Here is an 18,047-nt window from a genome sequence, read left to right on the forward strand (position 1 = left end):
TAATTGTAGTTTGTAAAATCTCCCTGAAAGTCTGGTTTGTAAGTTATTGCTAGAACATCAAATCCCTTGTATAAATTACTAATGCTAGCAACTCCAACTAATGCAAAAACCTCTTAAGGATTACATATACAGGAAGATGAGGAAAACAAAGAGACTAATATTTGTGTGAATTTTCCTTGCATAGAATTTCAAAAGCCTGTAGTATTTAGGCTGCAGAATTGCAATGGCCTACTCTAGTTTCACTTTACCTCTTTTCCGACCTTAGCAATATTCCTCTTACTGAAGGAATGTATTCTAAGCAATTCAATTGGTTCAGTCCCTTTCAGTTCAGTTCAATTTTATTCAGTTCAATTCATTCCAAAACAATTAAATTTATGTCTATACTTATAAGGAACTGTGGTGGGCTATTTCAAATGCAAAGATGCCTGCATTCAAGTTACTTATTGCCTGGGAGGAGGGATAAAAGCATTAATTCTATATTCTATAATAAATCCCTTAATAGAAGCAGATGCTGCATGGATAGCAACTTAGAGTAGGATTTAAATGTGTTTAATTTCTTGCCTATTCTTAAACTACATATATGTATTGTATATATGTATATATATTTATGTAATGTATACATTGTATTATATATAGTATATATGCACACATATAAAATTATAGTATAAACTTACCAAATATAAATATGTTTAGTCTTCAAAATGAAATAGTTACTAACAGCCATCTTCAGTAACATTAAAGGATGCAGCCCTGATAGATCATCTCAAGGTGACTTTGTAAATTAGTACATGTCCAGACTCTGTAGAAGAAATGAGTTTTATATAATAAGTCAAAGAGAGAATATATAGTCTTTAGGGGACCCGAACATAACTATTGTAGTTCACTAATAGGTTAACTGTTATATAGCTGCACCGAGCATCATGGGCAATGAGAGTTTCAGAAAGATAATGATGGAGTTAATTTGTGAAAACTCTCATGTGATAATATGCATTTCTCTCTCGTTCTGATATGCTTAAGGCCTACACATTTTCCAAATGCCGTGTTACCCTTTACCATAGGCCCTATCATTTATTCTCTGGCTGTATATATGAACTAGGGAAATATGGGTGATAATTTTAGGTAACTATTTGTGTACTCAGACCTAGACCTCAACCTGGGAAACTCCGGCCAGCAGTTAGGAAATGATAACACATGGTGAGCCAACTTAAACAAATAGACTCAAGACTTGTAATCAAATCCAGTATATTCTATTATGATTTAATAAACCCAGGCATCAGAAACACCACAGTTAGAATTGTCTTTGCATCATTTGCTTTGGACCTCAAGAGGGGGTGACCTTAAATTATAAAGTTACTGGTACGGGAAGAATGAGACCCCCGGACAACACAGAGGTGCTTCTAACACCTTTGCATGTACAATTTCCTTATGTAATTCAGAACATGCCTCTTAGTATTGATGACAATTTCATTTTTAAAGTTTCTAGCTTGAGCTTAAGTCCATTAATTCACAATTTTTCTTCTCCATTAGTGTGAACTTCATGTGACCAAATTATGGGTTTAAGAGACAAAAAAGGGTATGAGATACAACGGGAGCAGCAAGGACAACATGGCCAAAATGTTCTGTGAAGTTGGTAAAGACTCCTCAGAACAGCTGACATTTTGAAGCAGGAATATGACTTTCCTGGAGATAAAGGCAAGAATACTAGAGCAATCACTCTCCATATTACCAGACAAGGAAGTACAATTTAGGCTTACTAGTAGCAAGAACTCCTAAAAATGGCTTTCTGTGAAAACAAGTGGTCTTGAAATTCATAATAATTATAGTCTACTCTTGATAATCCATGTTGAAGAAGGGGAGTACAGTTGTAAGGAAAACATGAAGTTTTTCACAAATTGTAATTAAAATGTAAATCTTTTTGTATATACTTAGATACTAAACTTGAATTCTGGTTGGGAAGGGTATATTATTTGGATGCCAATAAAATGAGATATAAATCTATGAGGACATATGTTGAATTGGAAGCACTCAACTTGGGTTTATTATTAAAAGTCTGCCTGGCATTAAGGATGCACTCAAATATTACTTGCTATAACAAGTCCCTAAATAATTGGCTTCAGAGACAATAGTCTCTGCAAAAAGAAATCAGAAATCTGTGTGACCATACAAACTGCAACTTTCTATTAATTCACCAAATGAAATGTGTTGATCCACTAATGGGGTTATGAATGAAAGCTGAGTTTTTTTTTTTTTTTTTACCCCAACAGCATTATACTAACTCCTAGCACTCCTTTAAATTTTATGCAAGATGTTAAAGATTATATATGTGGAATTTCAAGTATGAAAAGAGCCAGTCTAGCTCCACAACTAAATATACAATGTATAGAAACAAAATACAATTGAATCAGAGTTAGTTCTTATTGGTGGAGTGCTGAGCTTGCCAATACGATGAAGGAAGATCATGAACCTTTGCGTACACACAAATTGCTAATGCTATTTCTGCCACTGTTATAGAGAATGGTGACAAGGGGGTTAAAAAACATAGTACATGATAACTATAATCACCATTCTGGCATTAAGAAGATATAGGAGAAGATGTAACAAAAATAATGGTAACTACAGACAGAGAGCTTACTGAGACTTTCTCTGCTTGGCGGGAATAAGCAAAGAACTGGTCCTATGGAATCACTCATCATGCTAACTCAAAGATCTTACATAAACCAAGAGGCATGGTGCTTAGATAATGCTCTTCTGTCTCAGGGCCTTCAACTTTTTTTTTTTGAGACAGGGTTTCGCTCTTGTTGCCCAGGCTGGAGTGCAATGGCGCGATCTCGGTTCAGGCATGGCATTTCCCTTAAAGTTGAAGAACTACCAGGACCGATTTTAATTTTAAGTGGCCACAGTGTAGCAGACACAGCAGCTTCCTGCTTTCTCTATCACTGGAGTCTGCTGCAGTAAGCAACAGGGAATTAGTCACTGAGTCAACAAGGGGGAACCACCCAAACTTGTTTATTTAATTTTGCTACATAATAGCTACATATCTATGGATTCTCTAACAACCACATTATATAGTCCCACTTTTCAAATCTTTAAATAATTTGTCCTGCCTATATCAAAATGTATTTCTTTTCACTTTGAGGAACAGCCACAGGTAGATAATTGACAAGTGAAAAGAAAACTCTCAAAAAGAAGAGGAAAGAGTAAAGAGGACTTGGTCATCCATCTTCGATACCAGCTCAGTCACGGTAGAATATGGCACCAGTCAGAGTCATGAGGTGCCCCTTCTAGGCTCTAGCTTCAGGACAACATTTCTAAACATACCCTGGGCCAGAAACGAACCTGCTGCCCTGAAGGGAAGGACCAAGTTTTGGCAGGACCCATCACCTGCTGACTAAACAGCCTTTGGGCCCTGAATAACCAGCAGTGATACTTAGGTTGTATGCTGTGCACTTTGGGTGAGACTCTGAGACTTGCTGGATTCAGATGAGACTCAGCACTTTTCCAGCTGTGGTAGCTACAGGGAGAGACACCTTCTACTTGAGAAAAGCAGAGAGAAAATAAAGGGGACTTTGTCTTGCAGCTTAGGTATCAGCTCAGCCACAGTCAGGAAGAGCACCAAGCTCTTAAGGTCCCTAATTCCAGGCCTTGGCTCTTGGACAGCGTTTTGAGACCTGCCCTGGGCTAGAGGTGAGACCATTGCCCTGAAAGTTGAGTCCCGGGCCAGGTGGCATTCACCACAAGCTGACTTAACAGCCCTTGGGTCTTAAAGGAACATTGGCAGTAGTCTGGCTGTACTCCTCATGGGCCAGTGATGGTGGTAGTCACTGTGTGACGTTCCTCTGCCTATGGAAAGGGGAGGGAAGAGTGGAAAAGACTGTGTCTCATTGTTTGGGTGCCAGCTCAGCCAAAGTGCAATAAAACACCAGGTAGACTTCCAAGGTTTTGACTTTAGTACCTGGCTCCAAGATGGCACCTCTGGACCTGCACAGGACCTGGAGAATCTTGCCATCCTGAAAAGTAGGACACAAACCTGATTGGCTTTCCCCTCCTCCTGCTGATTATAGAGCCCAGAGCCTTGAGTGAACATAGGCGGTAGCCAGGTAGAGGTTATAGTGGATCTTGAGTGAGACCCAGTGTGAAGCCCCAGTGGTGGTGGCCACAGGGATGCTTGTGTCATCCCACTTCCAGTTTCAGTCAGCTCAGGACAGAGAGAAAGATTTTGTTAGTTTGTGAGAAAGTAAGGGAAGAGAACAAGAGTCTCTGCCTAAAAATTCAGAGAATTATTCCAGATCTTATCCAAGACTATCAAGGTAATACCTCCACAAGTCTCCAACAGTTATAGCATTAATAGGCTTGGGGTGCCCCTGAATACAGATGTGGCTTAGACAACAACACCCAAGTACTTTGGAATACCTGGAAAGTCTTCCCAAGAAGAACAAATACGAACAAGCCCAGACAGCAAAGATTACAATAAACACCTTACTCTTCAATGCCCAAAGATGAATATCCACAAACATCAAGGCTTTTCGGGAAAACATGATGTTGCCAAATGAACTAAATAAGACACGAGTGACCAATCCTGCAGAGACAGAGATATTTAATTTTTCAGAGAATTTAAAGTAGCTGTTTTGAGGAAACTCAAAGAAATTCAAGATAACACAGAGAACTCAGAATTCACTCAGAGAAATTTAACAAAGAGATTGAAATAATTTTTTAAAAATCAAGCAGAAATTATGGAGTTTAGAAATGCAATTGGCATATATTGAAGAATGCATGAGAGTCTTAATAGCAGAACTGGTCAAACAGAAAAAAGAACTAATGAGCTTAAAGACAGGCTATTTGAAAATACACAGAGGAGACAAAAGAATAAAAAAGAATGAAGCATGCCTACATGATCTAGAAAATAGCCTCAAAAGGAAAAATCTCGGAGTTAATGGCCTTAAAGAGGAGGTAGAGAAGGAGCTAGATAGTGATAAAATATCCAAAGGGATCATAACAGAGAACTTCCCAAATCTAGAGAAACACATCAATGTCCAAATACAAGAAATCTATAGAACACCAAGCAGATTTAACCCAAAGAAGACTACCTCAAGGCATTTAACAATCAAACACCCAAAGTCAAGGATAAAGAAAAAAATCCTAAAAGCAGCAAGAGAAAGGAAACAAATAACATATAATGGAGCTCCAGTACATTGGCTGAAGACTTTTCAGTGGAAACCTTACAGGTCAGGAGAGAGTGGCATAATATATTTAAAGTTCTGAAGAAAAAAAAACTGTTACCGTAGCATAGTATATCTGGTGAAAATATTCTTCAAACTTGAAGGAGAAATACTTTCTCAGACACACTAAGGCTGAGGAATTTCATCAACACCAGACCTGTCCTATAATAACTGCTAAAGGAAGTACTTCAATCCGAAATAAAAGGGAGTTAACGAGCAGTAAGAAATCATCTGAAAGTACAAAACTCACTGGTAATAGTAAGTAAAAACACAGAATATTATAACACTCTAACTGTGGTATGTAAACCACTCAAGTAGAAAGACTAAAAGACGAGCCAATCAAAAATAACTACAACAACAAATTTTTAAGACATAGATAGTACATTAAGATATAAATGGAAACAACAAAAAATTAAAAGTGGGGGCACAAGTTAAGGTGTAGAGTTTTTATTTGTTTTCTCTATGCTTATTTGTTTATGCAAAGAGTGTTAAGTTGTTATCAGCTTAAAATAATGGGTTATAAGATAGTATTTGCAAGCCTCATGGTAACCTCACATCAAAAAACATGTGGTAGATACACAAAAAATAGAAAGCAAGAAAACAAATCATACCACCAAAGAAAATCACCTTCACTGAAAGGGAGGCAGGAAGGAAGATAGGGAGAGAAAATCACAGAACAACTAGAAAATAAATTAAAAAATAGCAGGAACTAAGTCCCTATTTATCAATAATAATATTGAATGTAAATGGGATAAACTTTCAAATTAAAAGACATAGACTGGCTGAATGGATGGAAAAAAAGACTCAATAATCTGTTGCCTACAAGAAACATACTTTGTCTATAAAGATACATATAGGCTGAAAATAAAGGGATGAAAAAAGATATTCTATGCCAATGGAAACCAAAAAAGAGCATGAGTAGCTATACTTATATCAGAAAAAAATAGATTTCAATACAAAAGCTAAAAAAAGAGTCAAAGAAGTCATTACATAATGGTATAGGGGTCAATTCAGCAAGAGGATATAACAATTCTAAATATATATGCACCCAACACTGGAGCGCTCAGGTATATAAAACAAACTTTGTTAGAAGTAAAGAGAGAGATAGGCCCTAATACAATAATAGCTGGAGACTTCAACACCCGACTTTTCAGCACTAGATAGATAGTCTAGACAGGAAATCAACAAAGAAACATTGGACTTTGTCTGCACTATGCACCAAATAGACGAAATAGGTATTTACAGAACATTTCGTCAAATGGCTTTGGAATACACATTTTTTCCCTCAGCACTTGGGTCATTCTCAAGGACAGATCATATGTTAGGTTACAAAACATGTCTTGAAACATTCACAAAAATTGAAATAATATCAGGGATCTTCTCTGGCCACAATGGAATAAAACTAGAAATCAACATGAGAAATTCTGGAAACTGTACAAACACAAGGAAATTAAACAATATGCTCCTGAATATTCAGTGGGTCAATGTAGAAATTAAGAAGGAAATTGAAATATTTCTTGAAACAAATGTTAGTGGAAACAAAATATACCAAAATCTTTGGGATACAGCGAAAGCAGAACAAGAAGGAAGTTTATAGCGATAAGTGCCTACATCAGAAAAGTAGAAAAACTTCAAATACACAGCCTAATGATACACCTTAAAGAACTAGAGAAGCAAAACCAAGCCAAACCCAAAATTAATAGAAAAGAAATAATAAAGACTAGAGCAAGAAAAATGAATTTGAAATAAAATGTCAATGAAACAAAAAGGGTTTTTCTTGAAAAGATAAACAAAATGTACAAACCTTTAGCCAGGCTAAGAAAAAAAGAGAAATGATCTAAATAAAAAATGAAAAAGGAAACAATACAACTGTTGTCACAGAAATTCAGAGGATCATTATTGGCTACTATGAGCAACTATATGCCAATAAATTGGAAAATATAGAAGAAGTGAATCAATTTCAAGACACATACAACCTACCAAAATTTAACCATGAGGAAATCCAAAACCTAAACAGACGAATAACAAGTAAAGAGACCAAAGCAATAATAAAAAGCACCTCCCAGCAAAGAAAAGCCTGGACTCAATGGTTTCATTGCTTAATTCTACCAAACATTTTAAAAAAGAAATAATACCAATCCTACTCTAACTGTTTGGAATAATGGAAAAGGAAGGAATACTTCCAAACTTATTCCATGAGGCTAGTAGTACCCTGATACTAAAACCAAAGACCTGTCAAAAAATGAAAACTATATGCCAGTATCACTGATGAATATTGATGCAAAAACCTTCAATAAAATACGAGCAATCCAAATTCAACAACACATTGAAAAGGTCACCATCATGACCAAGTGGGATTTATCTTAGGGATGCAAGAATGGTTCAACATATGCAAATCAATTAATGTACTACATTGTATCAACCAAATTAAGTACGAAAATCACATGGACATTTCAATTGGTGCTGAAAAACCATTTGCTAAAATTCAACATCTTTTCATGATAAAAATCATAAAACTGGATATGGAAGAAACATACTTAAACACAATAAAATCCATCTATGACAAATCCATAGCTAGTATCATTGTAAATGATAGGCTTTCCTCTAAGATGTGGAACACAAGGATGCCCATTTTTCACCACTGTTATTCAACATAGCACTGGAACTCCTAGCTAGAGCAATCAGAGAAGAGGGAAAAAAGGACTTCGAAATTGAAAAGAAGCAAGTCAAATTATCCTTATTTACACATGATATGATCTTATATTTGGAAAAACCTAAAGACTCCACAAGAAAACGACTTGAATTGATAAATTTAGTAAAGTTGCAGGATACAAAATGAACATACACAAAAATCAGTAGCATTTCTCTATGCCAACAGCAAACAATCTGAAAAAGAAATCAAGAAATTAATCCCTCTTATAGTAGCTACAAATAAAATTAAATATCTAGGAATTAATGAAAAAATTGAAAGACCTCTACAATAAAAACTAAAAAACATTGATGAAGGAAATTGAAGACACACAAAAATGAAAAAATTGTCCATGTTTGTGAATTGAAAAAATTAATATTGTTAAAATGTTCATACTACCCAAAGCAATCTACAGACTCAATGCAATCCCTATCAAAATACCAATGACATTATTCAGTGAAATAGAAAAAAAAATTTAAAATTTATATGGAACCACAAAAGACCCAGAGTAGCCAAAGCTATCCTACGCAAAAAGAACAAAACTGGAGGAATCACACTACTTGACTTTAAATTATTCTACAGAGCTACAGCATCCAAAATGGCATGATACTGGCATAAAAACAGACACATAGATGAACGGAACAGAATAGACAACCCAGAGGTAAATTCATACATCTACAATGAACTCATTTTTGACAAGGATGCCAAGCACATACATTGGGAAAAGGACAGTGTCTTCAATAAATGGTGCTGGGAAAACTCGGTATCTATATGCAGAAGAAAGAAACTAGACCTCTATCTCTTGCCATATAGAAAAATTACATCCAAATGGATTAAAGACTTAACTACAAGACCTCAAAGTATGACACTACTAAAATAAAACATTGGGGAAACTCTCCAGGACATTGAACTGGGCAAAGATTTCTCAAGTAGTATCCCATGAGCACAGGCAACCAAAGCAGAAATGGACAGATGGGATCACATCAAGTTAAAGAGTTGCTGCATAGAAAAGAAACAATCAACAATGTGAAGACAACACACGAAATGGGTGAAAATATTTGCAAACTACCCGTCTGATAGGGATTCATTAATATCCAGAATTTTATAAAGAGCTCAGACAAGTTTACAGGAAAAACATCAATAATCTTATTTAAAAATGTGCAAAATATTTGAAAAGATATTTCTCAGAAGAAGACATACAAATGACAAACAGGCATATGAAAAGGTGCTCAACATCATTTATAATCAGGAAAATGCAAATCAATACTACAATGAGATATCTTCTCACCTCAGTTAAAATGGCTTATATCAAAAAGGCAATAACAAATGCTGGCAAGAATGTGCAGAAAAGGGAATTCTTGTACACTGTTAGTATGAATGAAAATGAATACAACCACTATGGAGAACAGCTTGTAGTTTCCTCAAAAAAATAAAGATTGAGCTATCATATAATCCAGCAATCCCACTGCTGAATTACATATACAAAAGAAAAGAAATAAGTGTATCAAAGAGATAACTTCACTCCTATGTTTGTGGCATCATTGTTCACGATAGCTAAGATTTGAAAGCAACCTAAGTGTCCATCAATAGATGAATGGATAAAGAAAATGTGGTACATAAATGCAATGGAGTACTACTCAGCCATAAAAAAGAATGAGATACTGTAATTTGCAACAACATAGATGGTATTGGAAATCATTATGTGAAGTGAAATAAGCCACACACAGAAAGACAAATTTTGCATGTTCTCATTTATTTATGGGAGCTAAAAATAAAAGCAGTTGAACTCAAGGAGATAGAGAATACAAGAGTGGCTACCAGAAGCTGGGAAGGGTAGCAGGTGGTGGGGTTGGGGATGGTTAAGGGGTACAAAAAATAGTTCAAAAGAACGAATAAGACCTAGTGTTTGTTAGCACAACAGGGTGACTACAGTCAAAAATAATTTAATTATACATTTGAAAATAACTAAAAGTTTCTAATTTGATTGTTTGCAACAAAACAGATAAATGCTTGATGGGATGGATACCCTATTTGCCCTGATGTGCTTATTACGCACTGTATGTCTCTATCAATATATCTCATGTGGCCCTTAAATATATATATATCTGCTATATACCCACACAAATTAAAATTGAAAAATTAAAAAAAAGAAAATAAAAATTGAGAAAAGAAAAAAAAACTCTCAAATAAGTAGAACTATTATTTTGTTTTCCCTCCCCCCAATTTTTTATGTTTGTTTATTATACGATTTAGAAACCTCTAATTAGAGAAACCTCTAATTTTTAAAACAAACAAACATAAAGTTGATTACATTAGATTCTAAATAACATTTTTAAAAATGTTATTTGTCCAAAACAATAATTAGTTATTAATTGAACTATAATTATCACACAATATCATTTTTAAGCTGGTTAATTAACTCTTAGGATGGGTGAAGAAAGAATTAAGAAGGAACGGAAGTGGCCTGAGTCATGAAGTTTAGATTATTCTGATTATTTTAATTCCTCAAAGAAACTTTTTCTGATTGAAATTTAGCCTTTAATAGATGGACTTTCTCATGCCAATCATGTATATCTCATCATAGGACAAATACTGCATTGCGGTTACCTGTTTACTCATGCATCTCTGGCCCCATGAGCTCTGTGGATTTCTTGGTACAATACGTATTTGTTGAATGGATAAATGGACTGATCAGTTCGTAAATTGAGCTAGACTGACAATTCAAAGAAGTCATATAAATTTGGAAAAGAAATTTTAGCCAGTTACAGAAATGTGACTCTTACCTCTATTTAATCTAGATTATTTAATCAACTTTATTTCATGTTTACCCACCAACAAAGGAAATCACAGGAAAAACTATGATCTTTGCATTTGCTGTTATACTTTATTGGACACAGAAATAGCAATATTGTTTATTCCTTTTTAAAATATACTCTGACAGTTAAAGATACTGAGAACACATACTTAAATTACTGTGACATTATATTATCATATTATAAATATATATTCATTATAATGTATTCTCAAGTCTTACTCATTTTTGAGGATTAATCTGAATATTACCTCAACATGTTCAGACTGATGATGGTGATTTATACATCATCCAACATACTAAAAACTTAGATATTCTAGTGAAAAAGAAAGAAAATTGTTTGATAAATAAGACTCTTACAAATTATGCTTGTTTAAATGCAGAAACACATTATTTAAAAGAAAATTAATCAAATAATTGTGTGCACTTGAATAGTTGTATGCATCTTAGGCAATGGTCAATTTATTTTTAAAATAATTTTATTTCAACACAAATTATTTAATCTTTATTAAAAATAAAGGAAAAAAACCTAAATATAAACTAACTAGTAATTCCACCTTCTTATGTTTAAAGCAATGATTAATTTGTCAACCAGATGCAACGCATTGAAACTCTATGCTTCCCCAAAACATGGAAATATATTAATAAGGACTAATATACAATGAAGAAATTATCAAAGTATAAATTAATTCAACTTCTAAATGTGATAATAATTGTTCCAAGTGCATTAGTTTGATTTCATGGGATACATTTTCTTTTATCATTTCTCTGTTGGAACCATAAAGGTAGAAGTGTCAAGGTCAATTTTTACGTTTTTCATTTTGAAAGCATCCTTTTAAATCTTTATAAAGAAATCAGTATAAAATAAATATAAATAGCAGATGCGTAAGTGTAGATTGGGATAAATAAATCGTATAAACCCCAAATAAAATAATGCAGAAAGAACATAAGTGGGTTTATTGAAGGAGTATTAGAATATAACTATTTGTATGCAGAAGTGGTCTGAGAAATCAGTTGAAAAGACAGAGGCATTAAAACTAGATTTAGGCAATTCAGTAGAATATCAAACTTAGTTGAAACAAAGTAGTTGAAGAAATAATATTTCATAAATGTGTTCTGACATTTTCTAATGAAGAAACGAGCAAGCATAAAAGAAAGAAACCTTACTATTAATCATGTATTTGAGTTGGCTTTTCTTTATAAATTATTAAATTTCCTTGAGTACTTCAAATGCTCTTTTTAAGGAATTATTATTTTTTGCATCATTTGTTTTATATTTTTCCATAATTTTTTAAATTAATATTTTGTTAGAATTGTTTTCAGTTTACAAAAAACATGGATCAGAAAGTACAGAGTTACTATATACTCCCCCTACACACACACAATTTTTCTTATTAACATCTTATATAGTATATTTGTTAACATGAATGAACCAATATTGATAAATGATTTTTAACTAAAGTCCATAGTTTACGTTAGTGTTGTGTAGTTCTATGATTTTTGCCAAATGGATAATGTCATGTATCCACCATTAGAGTATCATACAGAATATTTCTCTACTCTAAAGATTTCCTGTGCTTCACCTACTCATCTCTTCCTCTCCTCTACCCCTGTAACCACTGATCTTTTTATGGTTTGTATAGTTTTGCCTTTTCCAAAATGTCATATAGTTGAAATCACACAGGATGTAGCCTTATCAGACTGGCTTATTTCACTTAGTGATATACATTTAAAGTTCTTCCATGAATTTTCATGGCTCCTTTCTTTTCATTGCTGAATAATCTTCCATATTCTGGATATACCACAGTTTGTCTCTCCATTCACTTATGAAGGAATATCTTGGTTGGTTCAATTTTTGTGAATCACTTTTAAAATACGAGACTATACTTGCATAGCCAAATCATGTATTGCCCCAGGAATTACCACAGGATAGAACTCTTTGATAATCTGAAGTAATCTTTCTTTTGTTTTTATTCTACTTATCTCTTTTCTCTTGCATGAAATTCAAAGGTAAAAAAATTTCTGTTAAGTAGCATCTCACTTTAAGCAACCTTAAAATAGTGCTTCTTAAATGATGCTCCAAGTAGCATCTACATTAGAATCATCAGAGTTGCTTGTTAAAGTTCAGATTCCTGGGCTCTACTCTTGATGTACTGAATCAGAATTTCTGGGGATGGAGCCCAGGTTTCTATTTTTTTAAACAAAGCTCCTCATGTTGCCTACCCTCACTAAACTTTGAAAGCAGACTACTTTTGTAATCAAGTTGTGTTTTTGATAATGTATGATATAACATGCTTTCTCCACTTTTGGACGTCTCAGGACTGGGGAAAGTAGGATTCAACTTAGAGTATGTGGCCAACTCTTTATTAGAAAGAAGTACTTTTTACAGAAATGTACTGAGTATTAGGGAAAATATTTTTTGATTCTATGTTGTTTCTTTCCAACATTCTTTGGAAAAGGAATGCAAGGATATTATCCTGGACCATTTACATTTCCAGCATTTCTTCATCAGGCTGAAGGTACCCAGAAAAAATTACTCTAGTACCTCAAACCATTACCTAGATCCACATTCTTAAGAAGGGCTTAGAGATAAATATTGTTTCTTTCAAACCAGGAAACTGTTATAGTTCAATAGTGGTTAATATTTTGGGTAATATTTTGAGTAATTTTCTGCATTTCTTATATTGCTATCGTTTCATTTTATTTCCAGCAAAATGTATTGCATTAGAATGTGGGAGAATTCAACTGAGTTGCTGATTGGATTTTCAAACTCATCGCAGAAATCACACCTTTGAAAGCCAAAGCTTTCATTTGTAAAACCTAGGCTTTTTAAGAGAATAAAAGTATTCTTGAAAATCAAAAGGAAAAATTCTAAAAAGCAGTACATCAGACTTGTGTCCCAAGCAGGAAATTAGAAACACAGTGGAAGATGATGTAAGAGCTAATTTTTCCTCCATATGTGGAAAACATACATGTACACACACACACACGGATGGAAGATCCGAGATATTAGAAATAAGAAAAGAGATCAAGAAAAATATATTTAGTTGTCCTCTAGAAGGCTCCCATCTTTGTCCTTCTGGATTCAGAGTATAGAAACCATGATTATTTTAAGAAACTCTGAGAGGAGAAAGAGCTGGTGCATTATTTCCTAAAGTGTAGCCCTGGGAGATTGCAAGTCTTTTAAAGAAAGCTATCCAGTATGGTCTTCAAGATAAGGAAGAAGAGATTAAGCAGGAAGGTCCCTGGACAAAACAAAGACTTTCCAAACTGAGAAAATGGGGGTCACAGAAGTGCTTAGAGAAAGCTGGTGGAACTGAAGATGTCTGGTTTTCAAACAAGGAGAATGTAGAGTGTATGGACCAAGGTAACCAGATGCCACTGCAGTATAGCAAGTATCAACAGCTGTGGTAGGCATGTACTGATAAGAAGGGAAAAGGAGAATATGTCCAGATGAGGACAAAAAGTGTCTATGAAGCCAGACACCTGATGCGCCAACTATATCTCATCAGTCTGGAAGCCTTACCTCTGAAACTTCTATTACTTTTGCTGAGCAAAAATATATGGTGAGTCCTAACTTTGTCTAATCATTTATTCAAAAAGAGAGTTGTTTGAACATTTAACTATAGAAAATATGAAATCTGTATCTGTTAAGTTAAAGCTATATCCTCTGGATGTGAATCTGAAGATTAAAATTTATACTTTCTAGGTATAAGAAGATTATCTGAAATAAATATATAGTGAAAAATTTAATGTTTTCTTTCTGGGTTTCCCATTTATTCTCCATCATAGACTGGGTTCTTTATATCAGTAGAAATAGGCATACAATATGCATACAAAGAGAAATGTCCTAATAAAGTAAATGGAAGGTGCATGAAAGAGAAATTCTGGAAGACAAATCAATAATATCTAGCTTGGATATTAGAGTCACATGGTCAGAACTGATTCCAGACTTCCAACTTACTAGTAACTTTGTGTTTTCTCATCCATAATTTGTGAATAATATCTACCTAGCAGCACTGTATGTATGAGATTAAATAATGAGATATATGTAAAGCATGTAAACTAGGGTCTGACACATAGCAAATGCTCAATTTTCTTATTCTTAATCTTACTGTTCTTGTCATTTATTATTTTACGAATTGCTATTTGTAGAACTTAATGTTTTACATTCTGATCTATGATTCTTATGGTCGGAATAATCCACAATAGTATAAATCTTGGTCTATGTTGAGAATTTCTTCATACAAACATAATTATGTAGCTCTTATACAGGCCAAACCTGCATTCATTTCTATTAGTTATATGCTAGAGGTAATGAATTTTTATTATTTATTTATGTATGTAGACACATTCTATTACCACTCTTTACCAACTGCCATTATTTTGGCTTAGGAGAAAATGATCTTGAAAACAGGTCTATGTAGTTTTAACAGCTCTTTTGTGAACTTCGGATGTAACTGAATCATTTTCTAGATTTATCTGTTAAATAAATGGTCCATGAAAGTATGTATGGGTAGATAATTGATGGAAGCAAATAATCCTATTGAAACATTTGCTATTTATTTTTGATACAGTTCTTTTAAACAGACTGATTAGTTCCCTTTATGATTTCACCCTCGAAAGCACACACGATTTTGTTCTTTATCATTGTTGCATGACATTCCATTTGGCAGTTGGGCTTATTTTTAGCCAGACTATCAAAGTATTTTTCAACTGGACTGTCACTGCACTTGAACTTGGAATCTTATAACTTGAAGAACTGCCCTGGAGAAAGGAAGAAACTTATAATAAATGGGAAATTATAAATCTAGACCAACCCAAACTTGTACTGGTAATTATTCTAATTATTCTTATTTCCTTAAGTGTAATATGGTTCAATTATAGTTACTGATAACTAACAACTCATTGGAATATGTGTTAATTTGTATACGGAAGATAAGGCAGCATGTTTTGTGAAAGTCTTTGAAAAACTATCTGAACTCAAATTATTTTTTTCTGAAGATCTTTATAGGAAACAAGAAATTTCTTACAAAAATATTATTTTAGTTCCTTGGTATAATGTTACAGAAAAAAATTTGGAATATTGCTGAATGTAGGGATTTTAGAATTATATCTTAAGTATCTAGTATTTAAAAACTAAAAACCGTCTTGCAACTAGAGATTGCTATAATTAAAATGCAATAAAATCAAATGAAATAAGTCAAATATATTTTTCTATGTAAATATATTATCCAATATCGAATGGGTTCTTCATTACTACAATTCAATATGATTGCATTTTAAATATAAACATCTGCATTTTAAACACACAATCAGTAATTTAAATTAAGTATTGTAGAATCTAGAATAAAAAACAGTTTTGATTACTTGTATGTTATGATCTGTGTCTACATTTTGCAAAACACAACTATGAATCAATCTCATTTGTTCTTCTTTACTAGATGAATGGAAGAAAAAAGTCAGTGAATCATATGTTATCACAATAGAAAGATTAGAAGATGACCTGCAGATCAAGGAAAAAGAACTGACAGAACTAAGGAATATATTTGGGTAAAGTTGTAAGAGTCATTATTTCTTTGTATAAGTGTCTTCAGTATTCACCTTATTTTTTAAAGTATCTGTATATTTTTTAAACCCGTAGAACCTCAGACATAAGCAGTCATGTTCTAAGCCTTAGGATGTCAGATTATCTCTCTTTGACCACTCATATAGCTCTCAAAATGCAAACATAACATCTCACCTCCTTAAAATATAAATTGTAATCTGCCATCATTAAAGTTTAAAAATAAAAACCTAAAGGCTAGCCTTTGAATGCAAGCTATTGTTGATCTCAGTAATCTTCTCAGGAATTAGATCATTCTTGTAAACCATGCCGGCAATGAAAAGCAAGATTTTTCTTCCCACATAGTGGTCGCATATTGGCCACATTGTTCTCTTTGAACTATGACGGTAAGTCCAATTTTAACAAACCCTCTGGTCTCTTGACATTGAAAGGCTGTCCCTTAATGGAACTGAGTATCATTCTGCCCCTGAACAATCATATAACAACATATAATATTGCCTTCAGGATTTCAGTAGATTTTGTTCCATGATAACAAGAGAAAAATAATCTAAGTGTCACAACCTTGGAAGACACAAAATGTTCAGAAAAGAGGAGCAAGACCCTTATATACACAAAAAGCCTTCTGGTTAAATTGAATCTGACATTGAGAAACTAGATGCCCATTAGAGGGTCAAGAAAGTTACCTGCCTGACTAAGGAAAAGTTCCATATAGGCCAATTAGCCATGTTCATTTATAGCTGTGTTATGTAATGCACTCATGGCAAAGAACTCCCTCTATTTTACTTAGAAAACAAGTGTAAAGCAATGACCAAATGACACATCTTTAAAATAAAATTTTAGATATAGTAAACATATAAATATCACATAATTGGCAAATAAAATCACCCATGTATAATATAGTTTATATGAAATTCGTCAATGGATGTAACAAGGCTTTCACAAGTGTTCAACTTATGGTTCAAAAAGTAGTTGGTTCTCTTTATAGTTTGGCCCAGGATGATGAACTCAACACTGACACTTGTGATGAGATACCACTGATCTGACTTTTGCAAGTAGTATCACATGTTGAGATATGGAACTACATTTGAAATTCCTGTAGAAATATGACTGGCATGTTAGTACAGTAGAATTATAAATATGTATTTGTTTTGTTGGAAAAGTATGAATATAGAAATTAATCATAAACATCTAGCTCTTATTGACTTAAATAAATATGCTAAATGAAATATGATTACATTGAAGAGATTTTCCTCAACTTTTAAAGGTCAAAGCCTCAGTTATTTAGTATTATTTTTTAATTTAGAAAGTATTGAGCACATAGGTGAAGGCTAGCTTAAACTAGATGTATCCAAACCTGAATATTAGGATTAACAATGGATTTAAAATGTAGGTTCTTTCTGATACCACATCGACAACTACAAGCTGTTTTGACAACTGCTATAATGGACTTTTCCTGTGTTTCTACTAAATGCAACAAATGTGACCTTCTTTTTTCTGATTAGCATTGGGGGTGAGATGCAGGAATCTGTGTCAGGGAGCTTACAGTCCAGAATTTGTTGAGTGCCAGCTCGTATTCAAGTGTTGTTCTGGATACATCAAATACAAGACATTATTTAATCTATAGTCATATGTAGATTGTTGTCATTTCATGTGTGCCGAATAATATTAACTCCGGTGGATGATAAACTAAGGATTAGAGACAAGGCAGTGGGAGTTGTCAAGTCACATGGTCAGTAAATTCTGGAATGTGATTTGTGTCAAGGT

At 33.6% G+C, this 18,047-nt stretch overlaps 2 protein-coding genes across 3 annotated transcripts in view; both read left to right on the forward strand.

The window, feature by feature from the left end:
- Positions 1–18,047, forward strand: part of FPGT-TNNI3K (FPGT-TNNI3K readthrough) — a 346,187-nt gene that overhangs the window by 21,699 nt on the left and 306,441 nt on the right. For both annotated transcript variants that reach the window (NM_001112808.3, NM_001199327.2), the window contains exon 4: positions 16,162–16,270. In NM_001112808.3, coding sequence (NP_001106279.3) covers positions 16,162–16,270 — 109 coding nt within the window. The remainder of the gene's footprint in view (positions 1–16,161; positions 16,271–18,047) is intronic.
- Positions 15,447–18,047, forward strand: part of TNNI3K (TNNI3 interacting kinase) — a 309,042-nt gene continuing 306,441 nt past the window's right edge. The window contains exons 1-2 of the mRNA NM_015978.3: positions 15,447–15,551; positions 16,162–16,270. Coding sequence (NP_057062.1) covers positions 15,512–15,551; positions 16,162–16,270 — 149 coding nt within the window. The 5' untranslated portion in view covers positions 15,447–15,511. The remainder of the gene's footprint in view (positions 15,552–16,161; positions 16,271–18,047) is intronic.

This window comes from Homo sapiens, chromosome 1 (genome assembly GCF_000001405.40).
Source record: "Homo sapiens chromosome 1, GRCh38.p14 Primary Assembly".
NCBI lineage: Eukaryota > Metazoa > Chordata > Mammalia > Primates > Hominidae > Homo > Homo sapiens.